This window comes from Homo sapiens, chromosome 2 (assembly GCF_000001405.40).
Source record: "Homo sapiens chromosome 2, GRCh38.p14 Primary Assembly".
Taxonomy (NCBI): Eukaryota; Metazoa; Chordata; class Mammalia; order Primates; family Hominidae; genus Homo; species Homo sapiens.
In genome coordinates this window covers 242,028,249-242,050,162 of record NC_000002.12, presented here as the reverse complement: position 1 = coordinate 242,050,162, position 21,914 = coordinate 242,028,249, and the positions used below count along the sequence as shown (strand labels likewise).

Sequence of the window (21,914 nt, the reverse complement as noted above, 5' to 3'; positions counted from 1 at the left end):
CTATTGTAAATGAAATTGTTTTAATTTGATTTTTGAAATTTTTATTGCCATCATATAGGTCTACAGTTGATTTTTGTATATTGTTCATGTACCCAGCAACATTTCTGAAGTCATTTATTCATTAAAATTGTGTGTGTGTTTCTAGAGATTTCCATATACAAGTTCATGTCATCCATAATAGAGTTTGACTTCTTTTTTTTTTTAATTATACTTTAAGTTTGAGGGTACATGTGCACAATGTGCAGGTTTGTTACATATGTATACATGTGCCATGTTGGTGTGCTGCACCCATTAACTCGTCGTTTAGCATTAGGTATATCTCCTAATGCTATAAAGACACATGCACACGTATGTTTATTGTGGCACTATTCACAATAGCAAAGACTTGGAACCAACCCAAACATCCAACAATGATAGACTGGATTAAGAAAATGCGGCACATATACACCATGGAATACTATGCAGCCATAAAAAATGATGAGTTCATGTCCTTTGCAAGGACATGGATGAAGCTGGAAACCATCATTCTCAGCAAACTATCGCAGGAGTTTGACTTCTTTCTTCCAACCCAGATGACTTGCATTTCATTGCCTTGCCTGATTGCCTCACAGGAACATCGATGACAATGTTCAATAGAAGTTGAGAGTGTGAACGTCCTTGTACTGTTCCTGATCTTAAGAGGAAAGCATTTGGTCTTTCAAATTTAAGTGTGCTGTGGGCTTTTCTTAGAAGGATTTTATCAGATTGAGGAAGTTTCCTTCTATGTTTAGCTCATTCATCTTTTATCCTTAAAAAGATGTTGGATTTTGTCAAATGAATTTTTTGCATCTTTTGAGATTATTATGGTTTTTAAAATTCTTTTAATACAGTGTATTGCTTTGTTTCCTTATGTTAAATCAACTGTGCATTCCTGAAGTTAATCCCAGTCATTCATGGTGTATAATTCCTTCTTATATATTGCTGGATTCAATTTGCTAATATTTTTGCCAATATTTGTATCTCTATTCATAAGGGATATCGATTATTATCTTGTGAGTTCTCTGTGCAGTTTTGGTACCAGGGTAATCCTGGGACTATGGAATGAATGAGTTGAGACTATTCTCTCTTCTTCTGTTTTGGTTTTGGCCTTTTGACATGTTTTGAGTGACTGGTATTAATTCTTCTTTAAATATTTAGTAGAATTCATGCATGAAGCTATCTGGGGCTGGCCTTTTCTTTGTGGAAAGTTTATTGATTACTAATCCAATCTCTTTACTGTTATTGCTCTATTTAGATTTTCTATTTCTTTTGGAGATTTTCCAGAAATTTGTCAACTTCTTTTAGTTTATCTAATTTTTAGCATACAATTATTTATTATATTTGCTTATAATCCTTCTCATTTCCTAAGGTCAGTAGTAATGCCCTTTATTTCATTGCTGATTTTAGTAATTTTAATCTTTATTATTCCTTGGTCAGCCTATCTAAAGGTTTGTTAAATTTGCTGAGGTTTTCAAAAACTAACTTTTGGTTTCAAGAATTGTTGCTACTGTTGTTTAATTCTCTATTTAATTTACCCCCCATCGTATCTTTATTTCCTTCCTTGTGTCTGCTGCACATGAGTTGTGTTTATTCTTCTCATTTCTTAAGATTGAAGATTACGTTATTGACTTGAAATATTTCTTTTTAAATACAGGCATTTTTACCTTTAAATTTTCTCCTAAGTACTATTTCCCATAAATTTTAGTATCTTGTGTTTGCCTTTTAATTAGTATTCAGTTATTTTATAATTTTATTAAATTGTGTTCTTGAATTCTTTGGTTATTTGCATTGTTTCACCTGTTTTTGAATTTCCCAAGTTCCTTCCTGGTATTGATTCCTCCTATCATTCCGTTTTGTTCAGGGAGCATAACTTTCGCATCTCAGTCCTTCTCCATTTCCTGAGGCTTCTTCAGGCTCTGGTGTGTGGTCCACCCTGGAGAATGTCTCGCTCTCCTCTCGAGAGGAACGTGGCTGCGGCTCTGCGTGGACCGTTTGGCAGAGGCTCATATGCTGGATCCACTGGTTGGTTCACGGGGTTCATTCCTGTCTGTTGATCTTCTACCTAGTGGCTCCATCACTCATTCAAGGTAGGACCAGTGAAGTCACCAACGTTCACTGTCAGATTGTCTATTTCTCCCTTTAGTTCTGTCGTTTTTTACGTTGTGTATTTTGGGGCTCTGGTGTTAGGCGATGTGTGTCCATATATTTCTCCCTTTAATTCTGTCCGTTTTTACTTTGCATATTTTGGGCTCTGGTGTTGGGTGATATGTGTCCATATTTGTTACGTCTTGGGAGAGATTGACCTTTTTGTTTTTATAAAATGTCCTTTTGGTGTCTCAAACAACGACTTTTGGCTTAAAGTCTATTTTGTCTGCATTCAGCCACCCGATGTCCCTTTTGATTATTGTTTACACGGTTCGTCTTTTTCCACCTTTCCCCGTTGGACTCTGACGCGTCTCTGCTGTGGGAAGCGCATCGCCGCCCCGGCGTCTCTCTCCGCTGCGGGGAGCCCATCGCGGCCCCGGCGTCTCTCTCCGCTGCGGGGAGCGCATCGCGGCCCCGGCGTCTCTCTCCGCTGCGGGGAGCCCATCGCCGCCCCGGCGTCTCTCTCCGCTGCGGGGAGCCCATCGCCGCCCCGGCGTCTCTCTCCGCTGCGGGGAGCCCATCGCGGCCCCGGCGTCTCTCTCCGCTGCGGGGAGCCCATCGCGGCCCCGGCGTCTCTCTCCGCTGCGGGGAGCCCATCGCGGCCCCGGCGTCTCTCTCCGCTGCGGGGAGCCCATCGCCGCCCCGGCGTCTCTCTCCGCTGCGGGGAGCCCATCGCCGCCCCGGCGTCTCTCTCCGCTGCGGGGAGCCCATCGCCGCCCCGGCGTCTCTCTCCGCTGCGGGGAGCCCATCGCCGCCCCGGCGTCTCTCTCCGCTGCGGGGAGCCCATCGCGGCCCCGGCGTCTCTCTCCGCTGCGGGGAGCCCATCGCCGCCCCGGCGTCTCTCTCCGCTGCGGGGAGCCCATCGCCGCCCCGGCGTCTGTCTCCGCTGCGGGGAGCCCATCGCCGCCCCGGCGTCTGTCTCCGCTGCGGGGAGCCCATCGCCGCCCCGGCGTCTGTCTCCGCTGCGGGGAGCCCATCGCCGCCCCGGCGTCTGTCTCCGCTGCGGGGAGCCCATCGCCGCCCCGGCGTCTGTCTCCGCTGCGGGGAGCCCATCGCCGCCCCGGCGTCTGTCTCCGCTGCGGGGAGCCCATCGCCGCCCCGGCGTCTGTCTCCGCTGCGGGGAGCCCATCGCCGCCCCGGCGTCTGTCTCCGCTGCGGGGAGCCCATCGCCGCCCCGGCGTCTGTCTCCGCTGCGGGGAGCCCATCGCGGCTCTGGCGTCTCTCTCCGCTGCGGGGAGCCCATCGCCGCCCCGGCGTCTCTCTCCGCTGCGGGGAGCCCATCGCGGCTCTGGCGTCTCTCTCCGCTGCGGGGAGCCCATCGCCGCCCCGGCGTCTCTCTCCGCTGTGGGAAGCGCATCGCCGCCCCGGCATCTCTCTCCGCTGCGGGAAGCCCATCTCTGGGCTGCGCTGCTTCCTGTTCTGCCGCCCTTTGCTTTCTGGCCGCGATTCCACTGAATGTGATCACTGAAAAGGTGGGATTTGCGTCCACTGTTTTACCAGTTGTTTTCTCTATGGCTTGTATCTGTTTTGTTTCTTTACTCTTCTTTTACTGCCTACTTTTATGTTAAACAGATATTTCATTTATACAATTTTAATTATTTTGATGTTTCTTTTACTCCTTTTTAATTTACTTGCTCAGTGGTTGTTCTGGAGAATGTAATTAAAATCGTATCTTAAAGCAAACTACTGCAAATTAATACCAAATTAATCTCCATAGTATGCAATAATGCGGTTATTAAACAAAATTGGTTAACAACTTTGGACCAGCCTTTGGATAGTGTCCTGGTCTAGGCCCAGCAGAACCGACCAAGCCAGAATGGAGTCCCCTGTGCTAAGGCCCACATCACCAAACTGACGTTGGAAATGGACAGTTTTCAAAAAATCTCAGGCCATTGAAATCAACCTGAGTCCACCTAACACAGAAGCCCTCTATTTTTTAACCCTTGAAGGAAAGTAGCCTGGAAACGACCCACCTGCCTTCTGTGTTTCATTCCTGCTCTCCAGAGGCTCTTCTATCTGCAGAGCCTCAGTTCACGGGACACTATCGCTCAGCTCGCGGGACACCCCCGCTCAGTTCACGGGACAACCCCGCTCAGTTCATGGGACACCCCCACTCAGTTCACGAAACACCATTGCTCAGTTCACGGGACACCCCCTCTCAGTTCATGGGACACCCCCGCTCAGTTCGCAGGACACCCCCGCTCAGTTCATGGGACACCCCCACTCAGTTCACGAAACACCATTGCTCAGTTCACGGGACACCCCCACTGAGTTCACGGGACACCCCCGCTAAGTTCGCAGGACACCCCCGCTCAGTTCATGGGACACCCCCACTCAGTTCACGGGACACCATCGCTCAGTTCATGGGACACCCCCGCTCAGTTCACGGGACACCATCGCTCAGTTCACGGGACACCCCCGCTCAGTTCATGGGACACCCCCACTCAGTTCACGGGACACCCCCGCTCAGTTCATGGGACACCCCCGCTCAGTTCGCAGGACACCCCCGCTCAGTTCATGGGACACCCCCACTCAGTTCACGAAACACCATTGCTCAGTTCACGGGACACCCCCACTGAGTTCATGGGACACCCCCACTCAGTTCACGGGACACCATCGCTCAGTTCACGGGACACCATCGCTCAGTTCACGGGACACCCCCACTCTGTTCACGGGACACCCCACCCAGTTCACGGGACACCATCGCTCAGTTCACGGGACAACCCCACTCAGTTCATGGGACACCCCCACTCAGTTCACGGGACACCATCGCTCAGTTCACGGGACACCCCCACTCAGTTCACAGGACACCCCCACTCAGTTCACGGGACACCCCCACTCAGTTCACGGGACACCATCACTCAGTTCACGGGACACCCCCACTCAGTTCACAGGACACCCCACCCAGTTCACAGGACAATCCTGCTCAGTTTGCAGGACACCCCCACTCAGTTCACGGGACACCCCACCCAGTTCACAGGACACCCCCACTCAGTTCACGGGACACCCCCACTCAGTTCACGGGACACCATCGCTCAGTTCATGGGACACCCCCACTCAGTTCACAGGACACCCCACCCAGTTCACAGGACAACCCTGCTCAGTTTGCAGGACACCCCCACTCAGTTCACGAAACACCATTGCTCAGTTAACAGGACACCATCGCTCAGTTCATGGGACACCATCGCTCAGTTGACTGCACCCATCCTGCTTCCAAGGCCAGGTGTTCCCAAGTCTAGAATCACAAATAGAAGCCAATTCAGTCTTTAAACTAGATTTGTTGTAATTTTGCCTCTGACACCATAACAGCCTGGGGACTTGTCCACAAGGCTGGACTGAGGGCCCCTGTGGGGTCTGTGTGGAGGTGACGCTGGGTGTGGAGAGTTCCGGTGACTGTCTCCCTGATTTTGCATATTGAAGGGGTGCAAAAAGGTTGCAGCTATTTCTGACACCAAGCCAGTCCTGTGTTAGCGACCCCTTGACATGGAGTGTGTGTCAGGAAAGAAGATCCCAAGGGAAGCCCAGCTCCTGTTAGGGATGAACTCAGGTTTCCACAGCTGGGCTTGGGGGGCCACAGGTGACCCCGCACCCCCCCGTGCTGCATCCTGCAGGAAGGTCCAGGCTCGCTGCATCCCCACTCCCCTTTGCTGATGGCTAAGGAGGCTCAGAGTGAAGCCTCAGCCAGATGTCTATGGAGGCCCCTCCCCAACTTCTGGCGGCTCTGAGGGGCCCCTGCTTCTAGGAGGAACAAGGTTGCCAGATGAGGGAGACCTTGGCGAGTGTGTCTGATGAGCACATTCATTTGGCCAGGCTGCCTTCTCCTTTCCAGATGTTCATTTCAGACTCCCCGGAATTGCACATTTATCAGCCCTTACCTTGTGAAGGGCGTCTGTAATTGTTACAGCGTGATGTGAAAATGCATTCTGGGATGTGCAAGCTGAGAACAAACGTGGGCAGCTCTGAACCTGCGTGCCCACCCCAGTTCCCCGTGTGCCCACCCCAGTTCCCCGTGTGCCCACTCCAGTTTCCTACGGGCCCACTCCAGTTCCCTGTGTGCCCGCCCCAGTTCTGCTAGCAGAGGCTCTCTGTCTTAAAGTCCCACAGAATAGCATCAAATTACTGGATATAGAAACCACTTCAAAGCAATGGTTCCCACAAAATCAGATCTTCTTGTATTAAGCAATGTTTTATATAAGATGTGTGTGCCTTTTAGAAACAGTTTTTCTTCCTTGATGAATGTTGGTCTTTAAAATTAATGATGAGTAAGGAAATTTGCATAAAATCACTCTCTCCATCAGGAGGCAAGCTGAGTGTTTCGATGATATTTATGGGAAAGGAAAGCTAAGGAACCAGGTGGAATTTGATCAGAGGTGGCACTGGGGTTGGGAGGGCATTGCCGACCAAAATGCCCCATGTCAGGGTGTGAAAGGAGCCAGAGCCATAAATTTGGGAAAGATGATGAATATCTTGAATTTGTGTGAGCAGCTTGGGTTTCTCAGATGTCAGTATCGGGGAGGGAGGAGACCTCTTTTAGGGGAGCTTTAAGGAAGTCTGATTAAACAGTGTCCTGAGAAGCTCCGTGGGAGGGCAAAACCGATTATGCTATGATAGATTGCCTTCATCCAAAGCAATAAAACCTACACAAGTGTCAGCAAAGTGTATCTAATTTGGCAAATGAAATTGTGACTATAGAAGGTATGTTTCTAAATGTGAAGTTTGTTAATTCAAGCACTGCTGTATTCACTGTGTTCTCTTCTCTGATGTGGAGCTGCATTTAGTTCATGGGTAACAGCCACACCTGTTCCATCCTCAGGTAACAGCCACACCTGCTCCATCCTCAGGTAACAGCCACACCTGCTCCATCCTCAGGTAACAGCCGCACCTGCTCCATCCTCAGGTAACAGCCGCACCTGCTCCATCCTCAGGTAACAGCCGCACCTGCTCCGTCCTCAGGTAACAGCCGCACCTGCTCCGTCCTCAGGTAACAGCCGCACCTGCTCCGTCCTCAGGTAACAGCCGCACCTGCTCAGTCCTCAGGTAACAGCCGCACCTGCTCCGTCCTCAGGTAACAGCCGCACCTGCTCCGTCCTGGGTTTCTTTCTCCGTGGCTCCTCGTTTGGTTTTCTGTTATTTTTCTCCTTTTCTATTTCTGCTGCTCTGTTGCCTGCCAGGATGTTTGAGCTTCCATCAGGGCTGCATTTTGGGGCCTTGCCTTCCTGTCAAGTGGTTCCATGTTCCAAACGCCACATCAGAGATCTCGGCTCTCTCACAAAAAAATTAGCATTTACTTTTTATGGGGCACACAGTGGTGGCTTCTTGGCTACTTTCTTAATATAAATGTGTGTATTTCTAACTCTATGATCAAAAGCCCATCAATCACCTCTCAGGCCAGAACTGGAATTGGAAACACCACTGAGTCTGCGGCAGTGAACCCAGGTTTCCACAGCGGCTGAGCAGCCACAACTGGCCCTCACCAGAGGGAGTTTGTATTAGTCCATTTTCATGACGCTGAGAAAGACACACGCGAGACTGGGCAATTTACAAAAGAAAGAGGCTTATTGGACTTACAGTTCCACTTGACTGGGGAGGCTTCACAATCCTGGCAGAAGGTGAAAGACACGTCTCACATGGTGGCAGGCAAGAGAAGAGAGCTTGTGCAGGGAAACTCCTCCTTAGAAAGCCATGAGATCTCATGAGACCATCATGAGAACAGTACAGGAAAGACCTGCCCACATGATTCAATCACCTCCCACCAGGTCCCTCCCACAACACATGGGAATTGTGGGAGCTACAGTTCAAGATAAGACTTGGGTGGTGAAACTGACAAACCATATCAGGGTTTAAATGGGACCCGGGTTTCTGCAGCAGCAGGGGTGGCAACAGCAGCTAGGGCCTGGAATGACCCAGGAATGCAGCATGGTGGGGGCCAGGGGACCTCAGGGGTGGGGTTCCTGATGTGGCCATTCTCTTAATCCCCAAATCACTCCTGGAGCTCAGCCGAGAACCCACCCTCTCATATTGTGGGTTCTCAGCCCCTTGTGTGACTCTCTGCCTAGGTACCTGGAGGGGTCACTGCCCCGGTTGCCCCACCAGACAGGATGCTGTCTCCACCAAGGTAACCCATTGTTCCAGGTGGGTTTCTTTGTCCTTTCCCTTCATCCCCATTCTCTGTGTCCCTTGCTGTCACCGCTCTGGCCCTGTAGAAGGTTCTGATGTGATTTAGGGGTGTCTCTACCTGGGAGGGCGGACACGTGCATGTGTGCACATCTGTTATTCTCGTTTATGTTAATCACACTCTTAGGTGCCATTTCGTTTACCTTTATTTTTAAATTTTGTAGGTGTTGCTTTTTTCATCCTTTATTTCTTAGTGTCGAGTGGATGCTTCTTTGGTGACCCCAAAACTCTCTGTGTGCACCCTGGGGACGGATGCAGGTGGGCCTCAGGACCCCGCCTCCACCCACAGGGTGTGGATGACCACCCCAATGCACAGTCTCTTATGAGAACAGGTAATTGGAGTGACAAAAATTGTATCAGACGGTTTTAAACAAGCAAGAAAGGCTTTATTCAAGACCATGCGGTAAGGGAGAGCCCCCAGCTCCTCTGCAGCACATGGCAGGAGGGCTGAGGAGCCTGAGGGGCCACCGAGCAGGTGGGAGAGCCCTGGAGGCCTCAGCAGGGGGCCAGCCCCCTAACCCTCCTCAGAGGCCCCCTAACCCTCCACAGGGCTTGGGGGGCTGGGCCATTTCTTTCTCGATGCCTCATTTTCCAAGGCAGCTCCCAGGCCTGAAGAAGGACATTTCCTGGGCTGTGGAACTGGCCAGTGGCTGGAAGAAGATTTACACCTGGAAGAGGCAGAGAGAGTTTACAATTTTACGTTTTCCAAAGTCAGTGCTCTGGACAGGGGAGGTTGACACCCGAGTCAGGAAGAAATCTGTCTGGAGTGAGCGAAGCCTGGGGGAGGGAAGGCCGCCTCGGCCGGGGTGTGGCCGGCAGCCAAGCTGTTGGCGCAGAGGTGTCCTGACCATGGTGCTCCAGGATCGCTGCTCTGGGCCCACCGGCAGGGTCCAGGGTTCCTGTGTCACCAGCCAGGGGCCTGACAGCTGGCTGAAGCCCTCACTTTCCTCCACATGCCTGGCTTGGCTGGGAGGCCCCTGTTTGAGCCCCTCATCCATGCTGTCCTCACCGAGCAGCGGACTCTCAGTGGCTGTGCCTAGGAGTGTGCACTGCCCAGTGACCCTCATGATGCTCCACGCATGCACAGGCGCGTCTGCAGGGCAGCTGGGTCCTCCACAGGCGTGTGATCGGCAGGAGCCAACACCTCTGCTCTGCCCAGGTGTACCCAGGGCAATGCTCTTCATCCTGACGGCAGTGCGCCCAGCCTGCTGCTGACACGACATAAGGAAGCTTCAGTGCAGAGGCTGAAGGACCCGTACCAGGGCTCCAGCAGCTCACAGTGGGTGGACAGGTCACTGCTGCAGCACCTGAGATTGGGCAGGTAAACCTGGGGCATGCTTGGTAGTAAGACTCCGCTGGACAGGCGTGGGGCGGACACCACCTGCCTGTGTCCCCCAGCATGGGCGGAGAGCGGCCATCACATGGTCAGCCAGGTCTGGGCCACAGGGAGCTGAGTCCTCCTCTCCATCAATTCCCGCTGAGCTCTCCCTCCTGTGGGCTCTGCACCTCTCTCCTCCTCACATTAGGTCACGTGTGTGTCTGTAACTGTACGTGGGGTGCATGGACACAGATGACCCTTCAGCCAGGGCCACTATCTGGGGTGCAAACCACTGGCTGCCGTCCAAGTGGGGAACGGCCTCTTGGGTCCATCCTCCCCGGGAAGAAAACTCAACAGTGGCGTTTCAAGTTTTGCTACATCTGAGCAGCCTCAGCCCTGCAGGCTGGATTCACTTTCTGCAGACTCAGCGGCCCCAGGTGTCTGGGGCCCCTCTGTCCTCTGTGGGTCTCAATTTTCTGTGTGGGATGTTCCTCGTTCGCACCCTCTCTGCTTCAGTTGGCTGGTGGAATGAACCCCATTGACTTTTATTCTCTAAAAGGTTGGATTCATCTTTGCTGAGTCAACAACTGAGGAGAACAAAACTCCAGAGAGAAACCGGAATTAGAGCTGGGAGTTTAGCCGGGCACGGTGGCTCACACCTGTAATCTCAGCACTTTGGGAGGCCGAGGCAAAAATTAGCTGGGTGTGGTGACACCCACCTGCAGTCCTAGCTACTCTGTAGGCTAAGGCAGGAGAATTGCTTGAACCTGGAAGGTGGAGGTTGCAGTGAGATTGCACCACTGCACTCCAGCCTGGGCGACAGAGTGAGACTCTGTCTCAAAACAAACAAACAAACAAGAGCTGGGAGTGCATTGTCCCAGCGCCTCCAGGCTGTAATTAGGACGCCTGGCAGGGGTCAAGGTTGTCAGTCTCCAAAGCTCCAGCCAGTGTGTCTGTCCTTCAAAAGCACTGGTCCCAGTGCCACAGTGACCATCTGAAGTGGTGACAGTGGCCAGGCTGTGGCCAACGGGACTCCCCACCCCCACCATAAACTTTTGCCTTTTCCTTCCCTTTTCAAGTGGGCCTTAAAGCACTTCTGGAAATTAAAGGTTGATTTAGGATATCGACTCTCAGCCCTGATTTCCATACCTGATCAAAGGCTTCCCTGTAGGGTGCCGTGAGCTTGGGCTGTCTGGGCACCTGCAGGCCCTGGGGGTCACATGTCACGGGGAGGAGGGAGGCCTCAGTCCCCGGGGTGAAGGGACACACCCACCCACCCTGGTCTCCGAAGCTCTTCCCTCTCCCCATCTCCAGGGTGGAGAGGCAGTGAGTCGGGGATACGATGGCGGAAGGGGAGGCGACCTCCCTCTGGGATTCGAATCCAGCCCTCCCACCTGGCAGTCATGGGACCTCCCTAAGCGGTTTAACTGCCAAGTCCCAGATCCCATCTGTGAAGCCAGGTGATAAAAGCTGTGGGTCACTGGGTCTCCTGGGTTCCCAGAGGTGCCCATGGCCGTCTCTAGAACAGCAGCTCCCCGTGGGTGGCACCTGTGTTCCCAGGCACAGTCCCGCCTGGATGCCTCCAGCCCACCTGGAGCTGTGAATGAACCAGCACCTTTCCCGCCTCCTTCCAGCCCTCCGACCATGGCCTCTCGCAGGACCCCTGGGAATCACCCTCATCTGTCACTGTTTCCCCACCGGGACCCACCACCGAGGCTACCAGGGAAAAGCCACAGGATTTGTTTGCATCTGGGGAGGCAGCTCCACCTTCCTGGCATGAATGGTCACTAATGATTGGACTTTGTCAGCCTGCAAGGCAGGAAGGAGATTTACTCTCCACAGACTGGACAGTCCTTAGCTTTGTGCTTGCCACATAAATGGCATTTAATACATGCTCCCTGGACTCAGCACCACTCCTGAAGGCCTGTATTGTGGTCAGCAGTTATCATTTCTTCCACAAATGAGCTCATTCTTCTCCTCTCAGGATCAACCCTTTCGCCTTCACTGAGGCATCAGACACCAGCATTCGGAGGGACACCCACTCCATCCTCTTCTCTCAGCTGCCTGTGGAAATTCCCATCTCAAACACGTGACTCCCCACAGAGTGGCACTCACTGATCACGGATCTTAACTTTAAAAGGTGAAAAATAAGTCAAGGCTTAAGGTAAAGTAACGGGAGGTGTGGATGTCTGAGCAATGCGGTGAACCGAGTCACGGGGCCGCGGAGATGTTCGCAGCTGGGACTTTCCAGGCCTCCCGAACGCAGAGCGCCCGAAGCCATCAGTGGCCACAGAGTGTGTTTCAGGTGTGATTTGGGGTCATTTATGCCAATTTTATTCTTCTTTTATTTCCATCTGGTTTTCTTTCTATAAATTGCATACGTCATGCATGCTACGTTTTATAGTCATCCGTGTGACATCCGTCTCGCACAGTGAGTTAAGGAGGACGTTCCGCTACAGCTGTACTTTTTACTCAGCAAAATAAAAAAAGAATAAAGATGAGCTTGAAACTCCTTTGGAATCACTACATTATCTGTTGCTTAGCAAAAGCAATCCATGAATAACACACATGTACACACATGATACACATTCATACACACACAAAAACACGTCTGCACATATGTGTATACATACACATAGAGACATAGGCACACATGCTCTGAAGGTCTGCATGGTGGAAAATTCTAGACATGTTCATTTCTACTTCCTGCCAAGCGCTGAAAACTTGGTGTGCCTGAAAAATCACTTGGCTTCTGTAACCAGATTTACCAAATTAAAAAATTAAAACTGTCCAAGTGTAGAGGCACTAGAGTTTTGTGTCATCATTATTTTTTGAACCACCAAACTTTTATGATGTTGTTGCATTTTTAACAATGCTTGAGTCAAATATCTCACGTAAAAAGAAAACTTCTAAAAAGAAAAAACAATCTAAAATCATGAAAATTTTTGAAAGCATAACCTGCAGTCTCTCCCTCCCCAAAATTGTGTGAATTTGTATGTCATGCATTGATTTCTTACAGTAGTCAGAATGTCAGCCGAATACCACAAAACACGTGTGTTTAGAGAGACTCCCCCGAAGTTGGGAGTGGTGAGAAATGGCGGGAGCTTGTCCCGAACAGACTCCTGGTGCCAACAATACCAGTGAGGAAGGTTCATCTCGAAAAACAAAAGCACTGAAGAGAAGCTGCATGAAACGAGGGGAACTTCACTTTTATCCTTAGATAAATGATTTTTTTAAATTTTGTGGCCACATAGGTGTATGAATTTATGGGGTATGTGAGATGTTTGGATACAGGCATGCAGTGTGAAGTAAGCACATCACAGAAAACGGGGCGTCTGTCCCCTCAAGCACTTATCCACTGAGTTACAAACAACCCAACTACACTCCCTAAGTTATTTTAAAATGCACAGTCAAGTTCTTACTGACTGTAGCCCCCCTGTTGTGCTATCGAACACCAGGTCTTACTCATTTTTCTATTTTTGCACCCATTAACCATCCCACCTCTCCCAGCCCCGCTACCCCTTCCAGCCTCTGGCAACCGTCCTTCCCCACCCCATGTCCATGAGTTCAATTGTTTCAATTTTTAAATCTGACAAATTAGTGAGAGAGAGAGAGCAATGTTTGCCTTTCTGTGCCTGGCTTAGAGAAATCATTTTAAAATTTCTGGTGTGCTTGATGGTGACAACTAACAGCCTGTGAGTTGGGGCTGCTCCGGTGAGGGGTGTGATGACGGGGAGGCTTCAGCCAGGTGGGCAACCAGGCCCTGACAATGGCCCAGCGGCGACGGGAGCCTGATGAATGTGCTGCAGGAGGTCAAGGCTGCACATCGATGTCCTCACGGCTGTGTGAATGGGTGTGAGACAGAGTCGTGCAAGTTCCAGCTGTGACTGATGAGAAAAATCACAGATATCACAATTTTCCCAGCCACAAAATGGGGGAGCAGCAGAGTGAGGGCCCAGTGCAGAGGAGAGACAGACACACCTGCACACGCACGGCGGGACGGGCAGCTGCATGCTCACCCCAGGACCTGGTGTGGAGGAGTACAGACACACCTGCACACTCACGGTGGGACAGACAGCCACACACTCACCCCAGGACCTGGTGCAGAGGTGGAGACAGACACACCTGCACACACACCCCAGGACCCAGCACGGAGGAGTACAGACACACCTGCACCCTCACGGTGGGATGGACAGCCACACACCCCTGCGTCCTCACATCCTCCCCTGGAACACAAGGATTTTGCATCTATCATGTAAGTGTGCATGAGTGTGAATGAGTAGGTGTGACTTGTGCAGCAGCCTGTGTGTGCGTGTGTGTGCAATGATCATGGCTGTGTGTGCAAACTGGCATGAGAGTGTGGGTGTGTGTTGCTGTCCAGCTGAGAGGACTGTGGGGGGAGTGAGTGGATGTCAGCCTCGGCCATGGCTTTCCATGCCCGACCTCTGAGCCAGCCCGGTCCCGCCTCCCACCTGCAGGCTGCGTGGGTCGCACCTGCAGTCTGCCCAGTGAGGCGCAGGTGTTTCTCACAAGTAGGGGCTGCTTTCCTCACAGCTCTGCTCACACCCATCCATCTCAGGGACTGCAGGCTGAGGTAAAATAGGTTTTTAAAGTAAGAAAATTGACTGAGAGCATGAGCCTGGCTGGCTGTGTTGATGGATTGTGGCCTTGAAGTGAGCCCTTGTACGTTTGTAGACTAAGAAACTCGATCCATGCCAGGCAAAATGAAAACCGCGTGAGAAAGGCTCTGTGACCCGGATTCCAAGGCCGTCGGCCGGGATCCGGGAATCTGGTTTGGCTGCCGTGGCCACTTGTGTCTGGTCCGCAGCGGCTCTGCTCAGGCCCAGATCCAGGCCTCTCCCGGAGAGCGATCCCTGCCCGCTCCTTCTTCACCCACACCGCGGCTTGGATCTCAGCTCTCAGCTCTGACCCTCCCCTCTGAGGTCCTGTGGACGTGTCCAGCTGTGGAAACCACCACTTTCAGGGTGAGGCCTCTGCCGTCCCAAATGCCCCTACTGGCCTTAAGATGTCCTTGAGACGGAGCCGTTCCCGGGGCTGCTGGCCGTGACCTCAGGCACCGCAGGCCCCACCTGCCAGGTCCACAGCTGCCCTTTTGCTCAATGGCATTTCTTTGAACACGGTTTTCAGGTTTTCTTTACGGGGTGTTCATAAAATCACATGCTGTCTTCTCGATCGTAGTAAGACAGGAACAAGCCTCGTGGACATCATGGGGCAGTCGAGGTGACCTGCTCTGCGAGGTGCTGCCTCGAGAGTGTGGATTCCCTCAGCGAGAGGCAGCAGCCGCCCAGCCCCGGGAGCCCCAGCCCAGGTTCAAAGCCCTGCGTTTCTTTTCAGTGTCTTCTGGATCTGAAGGAGGGGGTCCCGTGAAGTACAGACAGCTGTGTGTCTCCATAGCAGGGAGAAGCCCTCTCAATTGTCCCTTCCTGCAAATCCCCTTTCCTGATCCCAAAGCCGCAACAGTGGAACCTTCTGGAAGGTGGATTTCCAAGGATTGTCCTTATCCTAAAACTGCATTCAGGAAAGACACATTGACATGACTGGGGGCAGAGATGTGTAATGCAAATAAAGGTGTCGCTTTCATGTAACCTGAAAACTGAATTATTCATTAAAGGTTATTAAATTAAATATTTTCACCTGCATCAACTATGATTTTGCCTCAGCTTTCAAGCAAAACTCCCCTGAGTACCCCTTAGTAATCCATTTCTACACCTTTTGAATGGGATGAGTGTTACATGTATTTTACAACATTTCAAACCCAACACTCAGTGAAACCACAGGGCTTCATTACAGGGAATATCAGTTTTCAAAAAGCATAGACTATTGAATTCATGAATAAAAGAAAAAGGAATTGCAATTAGGTGGAAATGCTGAAAAGAATGTATTGTTCATTTAATTTTGAAAACAGCTCTATTTATTTAACGCGTGTTCAAAGCTGAAAGCACTGGTAAATCATGGATGGAATCACAGGCTCTGTCCTCAGGCCCAGCCTGCTGCTGGCTGCCGGCTCCCGGGAGCGCTCACACCTCACTCCTGCAGGGGAGGCTGCCCCTTAGTGTGCACCTCACTTTGTCTTCACCTTTCAAAACCGTGTTATGCATTATAAGTCTCGTTAAATGAAAACTTTATGTATCAGAAAGAATAGAAAGACCACAAAACATGTAGCCACATCTGAATTCCAGTGCCGTTGACTCTGCCAGATATTGGCTGGGCAAACTTGAGCAATTTGTTTAACCTTTCTGCACTGAATTTTTAAACTGCAAATTGACCATAATAACACTGGTTTCATGAAGTTTCCTAGGGATGCTGAAGACAAATGAGCCCAGTTAGACCCAGATGAAAGGAAGAAAGAGAAAAAGAGAGAGAGAGAGAACGAGGGCAGGGGAGAGGGAAAGGGCAGAGATGCAGCCTCGTTCTCACCCCTAAACGAGCTCAGTTATTCTGTGGCCTCTCAGTAATGTGGTTGCTTTCTCCTCTGTGGTGCCCCCAAGGTGGGCTTTGCAGTCTGTGTTATTTCCACCTCGCCGAGGAATAAGCTCCTTCTCAGACCTCAGGCCCTGGGCCACACTCCCTTTAACCAACACCATGAGATCTTTGCTCCCTCCATCGGCGCAACCGATGATGGTATTACCAAAGGCATTCACATAAAATGCAAAATAAAGAAGACAAGTTTGTGAGTTAAACCTTGGAGCATTTTGATTCCGAAGATCTGGAATCCATATCATTGTAACAGACTAGACTCACACTTAGTTTTAAATCATAGGCAGGAGTTTGGGGAACAATAAATAAGCACAGAAAATGGGCTAGGAGGAGGGTGGATGAAACTGATGGGCTGATCATGGTTCCAGGATGGTCTCACTGTGGAGGTGACAGGATGCGTGCTGCAGTGAAGGGCTGGGGTGCCACAGGAATGGGTGCCCCAGGTAGGGCGTCATCCAGGAAGGATGAGAAACACTGAGAACAGCTGGGTGGGAGCAGGGTCTGCCGGCTGCATGGGGGGTGGGGAGAGGAGCCCATGAGGGCCTGAGAGCAGCGAGGCTAGGCAGGAACCCTAATCCCTCATCTGCACATGACATGGGGCCTGCCGGAGCCCCGTGGAGCTTGGAATGGAACTGGGGAGGAGCGTTTGCCAGGCCTCCCATCCCCTCCTTCTGCCCACTGGGATTGCTCCTGAAGGAAGAAGAACCCATCGAGTCCCTTGTAAATGTGCTGGGGAGAGAACCCCTGACAGTGCCTGGTGCTCACTCCTGGGGAGCCACTGTCTACCCTCTGTCCTCTCTCGGGTGACCCCGGCTCTCAGCTCACTCCTGGGGGTGACCCCGGCTCTCGGCTCACTCTTGGGGAGCCGCTGTCTACCCTCTGCCCTCTCTTGGGTGACCCCGGCTCTCAGCTCACTCCTGGGGGTGACCCCTGCTCTCAGCTCACTCCTGGGGAGCCACCGTCTACCCTCTGCCCTCTCTCGGGTGACCCTGGGTCTCGGCTCACTCCTGGGGAGCCACTGTCTACCCTCTGCCCTCTCTCGGGTGACCCCAGCTCTCGGGTTGTTCTGGTACCATGGTTTCTGGGCTCGGGTCCATGGCACCTGGAAAATGTTGCATAAGTGAAATGATCTTCAAAGACCAAGAGGAGAGATGTTCCAGGCACCCCTCAGAGGCCCTATGAGGCAGGAAGGACAGTGGGGCTACAAGGTTCCCCAGCTTCTCCAGCTCAACCTGCGCCTGGAAATGACTCCCTGAAATCGTGAGCAGAGCTGGATGCGGGGTCAGTTCTGTGATCTGTGGGACTCTACCATTAATGGCTTCATTTATTTACACGGATCTAACCTTATATTTATCTACGTAAAGAAATAAATTTGTTATTTGTTAGATTCACCTGCACGTATCTTTTTAAGAATATTTTCCTAGCCAGTAAAGAAAATAAGTCAATTTTCTTTTTTCATTTCCCTATTGCTATGTGACGAAAGGTAATATTCTATACTTTTTGTATTAAAGGACTTCAAATTACTGATACTTTAGATGACTTCTAAAGTCTTTGCCGTATTCTCAATGAAGAATGTGAATGCCAGGTTAAAAGATCAACAATTAAATTACAGGTGTGTGTTCACCAGGAGGCCTGGTGTGATTTTCTTATTGGCTGTTTGCGACTGGCTGAGAGGGAAGATCTCGTGCTGTGTCCTCACCACGGGCACAGGCGCAAGGAAGCCTCCAGGAGGTGCAGAATTCCTCGATTGCTTTGATTTGGTGATGGTTTCACAGGTGTTTGCTCAGGTCAATCCTCACCAAAGTGTACACATGAAATGTGTGCAGCTCTCTGAGTATCAATTATACCTCAAAAAAGCTGAAACACTTTTACACTTGAAATAATCGAAGTGACATTTCAATCTAAAGGTTTACAAAGCTGTCACCTACATAGCTGATTTTTCCATGAGAGTCTCATTTACAAGAGAAACACAATTATGAAGTCAGTACCCTGTAATTTTAAAGGGTAACGGAAGAAGCGTGAGGTTGTTAGGGCGGTGCTTACACTCTCCCCCATGTTTATTCCGTGGTTAACCACATGGCAGATCGGCAGTGATTCAGGAAGATGAATTATCTTCAACACGCAGAAGTTCAGTCCTCTGGCATGTACGAATCCTGGTGTGGTTTTTACACAACGTTCTGCTGGGGATGCTTGGGGAGAAGCTGTGGTAACAGGATCGGGATTCGTTCATGCTTCATTCATCCAGGAGGCCTGCGACTGTCCGGCTCAGTGTGGGCTGAGCCTCCAGTGCCGAGCACCAGACACTCCACCCTCCTGAGGCACTTGTGCGGATGCAGGTGAGACGCCCAGACCAGGAGGGTGTGCGTGGGGGGTCGGGCTCCAGAGAACTTAAGATGAGATTCAACTGTGTGGACGGGGCTGGTAGAGGTGGTGGTTCCCGGGCTGGGGAGGTGTAAAGACAAATCCCGGTGACCCTGGCCCTAAAAAGCTGCCATGTACATTTTGTAGAAGACTGTCCATGAAAACAGACTCTCAGAAGCAAAGAGGTGCCTCGACAGGCCCCCCGTCCCGTGTGCAATGCCAGGTCTTACTCTCTCCGTCCCCGAAGGGAGCGTCCTCCTCACCTCTCTGGTCCTCCTTCCCTTGCCTTGTTTGCAATTGTCCACGGAATTCCTGCAGCCCCAAACAGTCTTTCTGATGTGGACTATTTTGAGCTCAACATAAATGAATTAACTAGCAGCATGTGTTTTTCCTGCTTCATCCACTCACACACTGTCTGAGACCCATTCATGTCTCCGGAGGTCCCTCACTCGCCTTGTGCTGGCTGACTCCACTGAGGGACTTGCTGGGACGTCCTCATCCATCTGTGGTGAACGAGAATTTGGATCTCTTCCCACTTGGGTTTGTGCGAACAGTGACACCAGGTGCATCTGAAATACACCACGTGCCCAGGTGCACGCGGGGCGTGTGCAGCTCCCTGACCCCTCTGCAGTGGGAGAGCACTGAGGCCCAGGGTGAAGTGGGGGGGTGTGGGTGTGGGGCCAGGCTGGGGTCGGGGAGAGGACACTGGACTCTGGGCTTTATCTGAGGGCCGAGCAGCAGGTGTCATGGCAGATCAGATCTGGTGTTGAACTGGCCCGATTGTCCCATAGAACTGATGTTCATGGTTTCTCTGAATAACATAGAAATGGATCCTTGTGGTCTTGAAACTTGAGAACTTGACATTTGTCTTGAGTTCCTTTCTCAGGAAACTGACCATCAGGCCTCCCGGGTAGTGTGAAGGAAGAGAGACTCACCAGATCACGGCATCTGGACAGTGAGATGCCAAACCCCTCACCCATCATGAGTGCCTGACCAGCCACCTGCCTCCTCCTGACCAACTCCTCTTCCTCACTCTCCCTAATTCCTGTTTTCCTTACACACAGTCACACTTCTTCCCTGCTATACAGTCAGTCAGGAAGATGGATTTGAAGCTGACCTCCCATCTCCAGGCCTGCAGCTCCTGATGCATGCCTTCCTCATTGGCAGTAAGCGTCGTCTCAGTGACAGGCTTTCTGTGTGGTGAGCAGCGGGATCTGGACCAAACCCCTGTGTTTCGGGAACAGGGAGAGCAGCCTCAGCAGGCCCCTGGCCCTGAGTGCAGTCATGACCACCAGGGACCCATACCAGCCCCCGGAGGTGAGTGTGGACAAGAAGAAACGGCTCCTGAGGACCCAGCCAGGAGAATTCCTGCAACGTCACGGAGAATCACGGCTACCTGGCCCACACCCCCCTTGAAGGGCAGCTGCAACATGCATCTCATTTGTCTTTCTTTCCTGGACATCTTCAAATCTCCTTCACCACAACCTTGTGATCGTGAGTTTCCGTCAAGATGTGCATTGTTTTACTATATTGCTTTAATTTACTCTGCTGGCTATCTGGAGAAATGCAGCCTCATCAGCAGAAATTATTTCCTCCCTGCCGCTTTTTAAATCTGTTATTTCCTATAGCCAGGTACTGAGCCCTTCAATTGAGGTCTAAACCCTCCACTCTCTCCCTCCGGGATTGCCAAGCCTGTGGTTTCAGTTCCACGCTCCCAGGTCGATTATGTCAACTCAAAGTCCAACGCGCTTATAAAATACTTGTTGTGTTTTTTTCTTAATTTTAGGAGTTTTTTTTAATATGTTTTTGTTTCATGGAGGTGACACCCTCTGTCTTTGAGTTGTGGGAGCCTTCCTCCTTCAGTCTGTGTGTACTGAAGCCAGTGTGTGCTGTACAGCCTCTCAACTGCAGCAGCCCACAGTGAGGTTCAGGTGCTCACGCCATCTCCCCAGAGAGCTCCTCCATTCGCCCCTCCACCCGTAGCCTCTCGAAACCACTGCCCTGCTCCCCGACACGGTACACTGTCTTCTCTAAGATGTCACGTGGTGGCATCCTTCGGCCTGTGCCCACCGAAACTAGCTTCCTTCACCGGGCATGTGGCCTGGGAGACCTGGGGCATTGTGGGTGCTTCTTTCCACTGCAGGTTGGTGCTCCCTATGTGGAAGCATCCGCGTTGGTTCACACCTTCTCCTGCCGGTGGACATTTTGTTTTCTTCCAGTTATTGGCAATGAGGAATGAGGCCTAAACACTTGTGTGCAGGTTTGTGTGTGCACATTTAAGTTTTCTCTTGGGGGAAATTTCAGGAGTGGGGTTGCTGGGTGACGTGGTAAGGATGTGCTTAACTTAATAAGAAACTCCTGGACCACTTTCCAGCATGGTGGGGCCCCTCCCATTCCCATGCAGCTTATGAGGGTCCCAGTTCCTTTGCATCATCATTAGAACCTGGGTCGGCCTGTGGTTTTTGTCTGTTTTTAGCCCTTTTAATAGATTTGCAGAGGTTCTGTTGATTGGCATTTCTCCAGCATCTCTATGACGTTGAGCCTCTTTCTCGGGCAATATGCCCTCCTTATACCTTCTTTGATGAGGCCTCCGTTCCAATATTGGCCCTCTCTTTAATACTGGGGCTTTTACTTTCTTATGGTTAAGTTTTGATGGTTCTTCACATATCCTGCGTGCCAGTAGGCTGTGAGACGTGTGATTCACAAATGTTTATTTCTAGACCATAGTTTGTGTTTCATTCTCTTTGGATTTTTATATTGCTTTATAGAATTATAATTTTAAATGTATGATTAAGTTTAATTTGTCAATCTTTTATGAATCATGCTTTTGGTGTCATGTCTAAGAACTTTTCGCCTAACCCCAGGCCGTACGAATTTTCCCCTGTGTTTTTGTCTAAGGGTTTGATAGCGTTATGTTCTCCATTTAGGCCTGTGATAAATGTTGAGTAACATTTTGTGTCCGCCATGGCCATACCTTTCTCCGTCTCTCACAGTATCATGGGCGTTTGCAGCTCCCAGTGCCCCGTGCTGCTCCTGTCTTCTTGGTCTGCTCCTCCTGTCATACCTTTCTCCGTCTCTCACGGTATCGTGGGCATTTGCAGCTCCCAGTGCCCCGTGCTGCTCCCGTCTTCTTGGTCTGCTCCTCCTGTCATACCTTTCTCCGTCTCTCACAGTATCGTGGGCATTTGCAGCTCCCAGTGCCCCGTGCTGTTCCCGTCTTCTTGGTCTGCTCCTCCTGTCATACCTTTCTCCATCTCTCACGGTATCGTGGGCATTTGCAGCTCCCAGGGCCCCGTGCTGTTCCCGTCTTCTTGGTCCGCTCTTCCTGTGAGTCTCAGGGCATGTCTTAGTGCTCACGCTGTCCTGGTCCATCGGGGGGTCCCGTGAGCTTGTCCGTGTG

The 21,914-nt window shown here is 51.1% G+C and overlaps 3 long non-coding RNA genes across 4 annotated transcripts in view, besides 1 other annotated feature; 2 read left to right on the top strand and 1 right to left on the bottom strand.

The window, feature by feature from the left end:
* Positions 1 to 2,479, top strand: part of LINC01880 (long intergenic non-protein coding RNA 1880) — a 36,455-nt gene extending 33,976 nt beyond the window's left edge. The window contains exons 3-4 of the long non-coding RNA NR_146651.1: positions 1,880 to 2,105; positions 2,400 to 2,479. This is a non-coding gene — a long non-coding RNA (long intergenic non-protein coding RNA 1880). The remainder of the gene's footprint in view (positions 1 to 1,879; positions 2,106 to 2,399) is intronic.
* The window catches only part of LINC01237 (long intergenic non-protein coding RNA 1237), a 197,360-nt gene that overhangs the window by 28,560 nt on the left and 146,886 nt on the right, over positions 1 to 21,914 (bottom strand). The window lies entirely within an intron of this gene.
* Positions 10,034 to 12,168, top strand: LOC105373980 (uncharacterized). 2 transcript variants are annotated; one of them, XR_924086.3, is made up of 3 exons: positions 10,034 to 10,092; positions 10,970 to 11,115; positions 11,290 to 12,168. It is a non-coding gene; the product is annotated as an uncharacterized LOC105373980 (long non-coding RNA). The 2 variants fall into 2 exon arrangements; XR_007088702.1 differs by lacking the exon at positions 10,034 to 10,092 and having other exon boundaries at positions 10,923 to 11,115.
* Positions 16,378 to 16,881: an enhancer, noted in NCBI's record as "H3K4me1 hESC enhancer chr2:242975433-242975936 (GRCh37/hg19 assembly coordinates)". NCBI's record gives its function as "activates a minimal SCP1, AML or CMV promoter by ChIP-STARR-seq in naive H9 embryonic stem cells {active_cell/tissue: H9 hESC(naive)}" and the evidence as "EXISTENCE:reporter gene assay evidence [ECO:0000049][PMID:30033119]".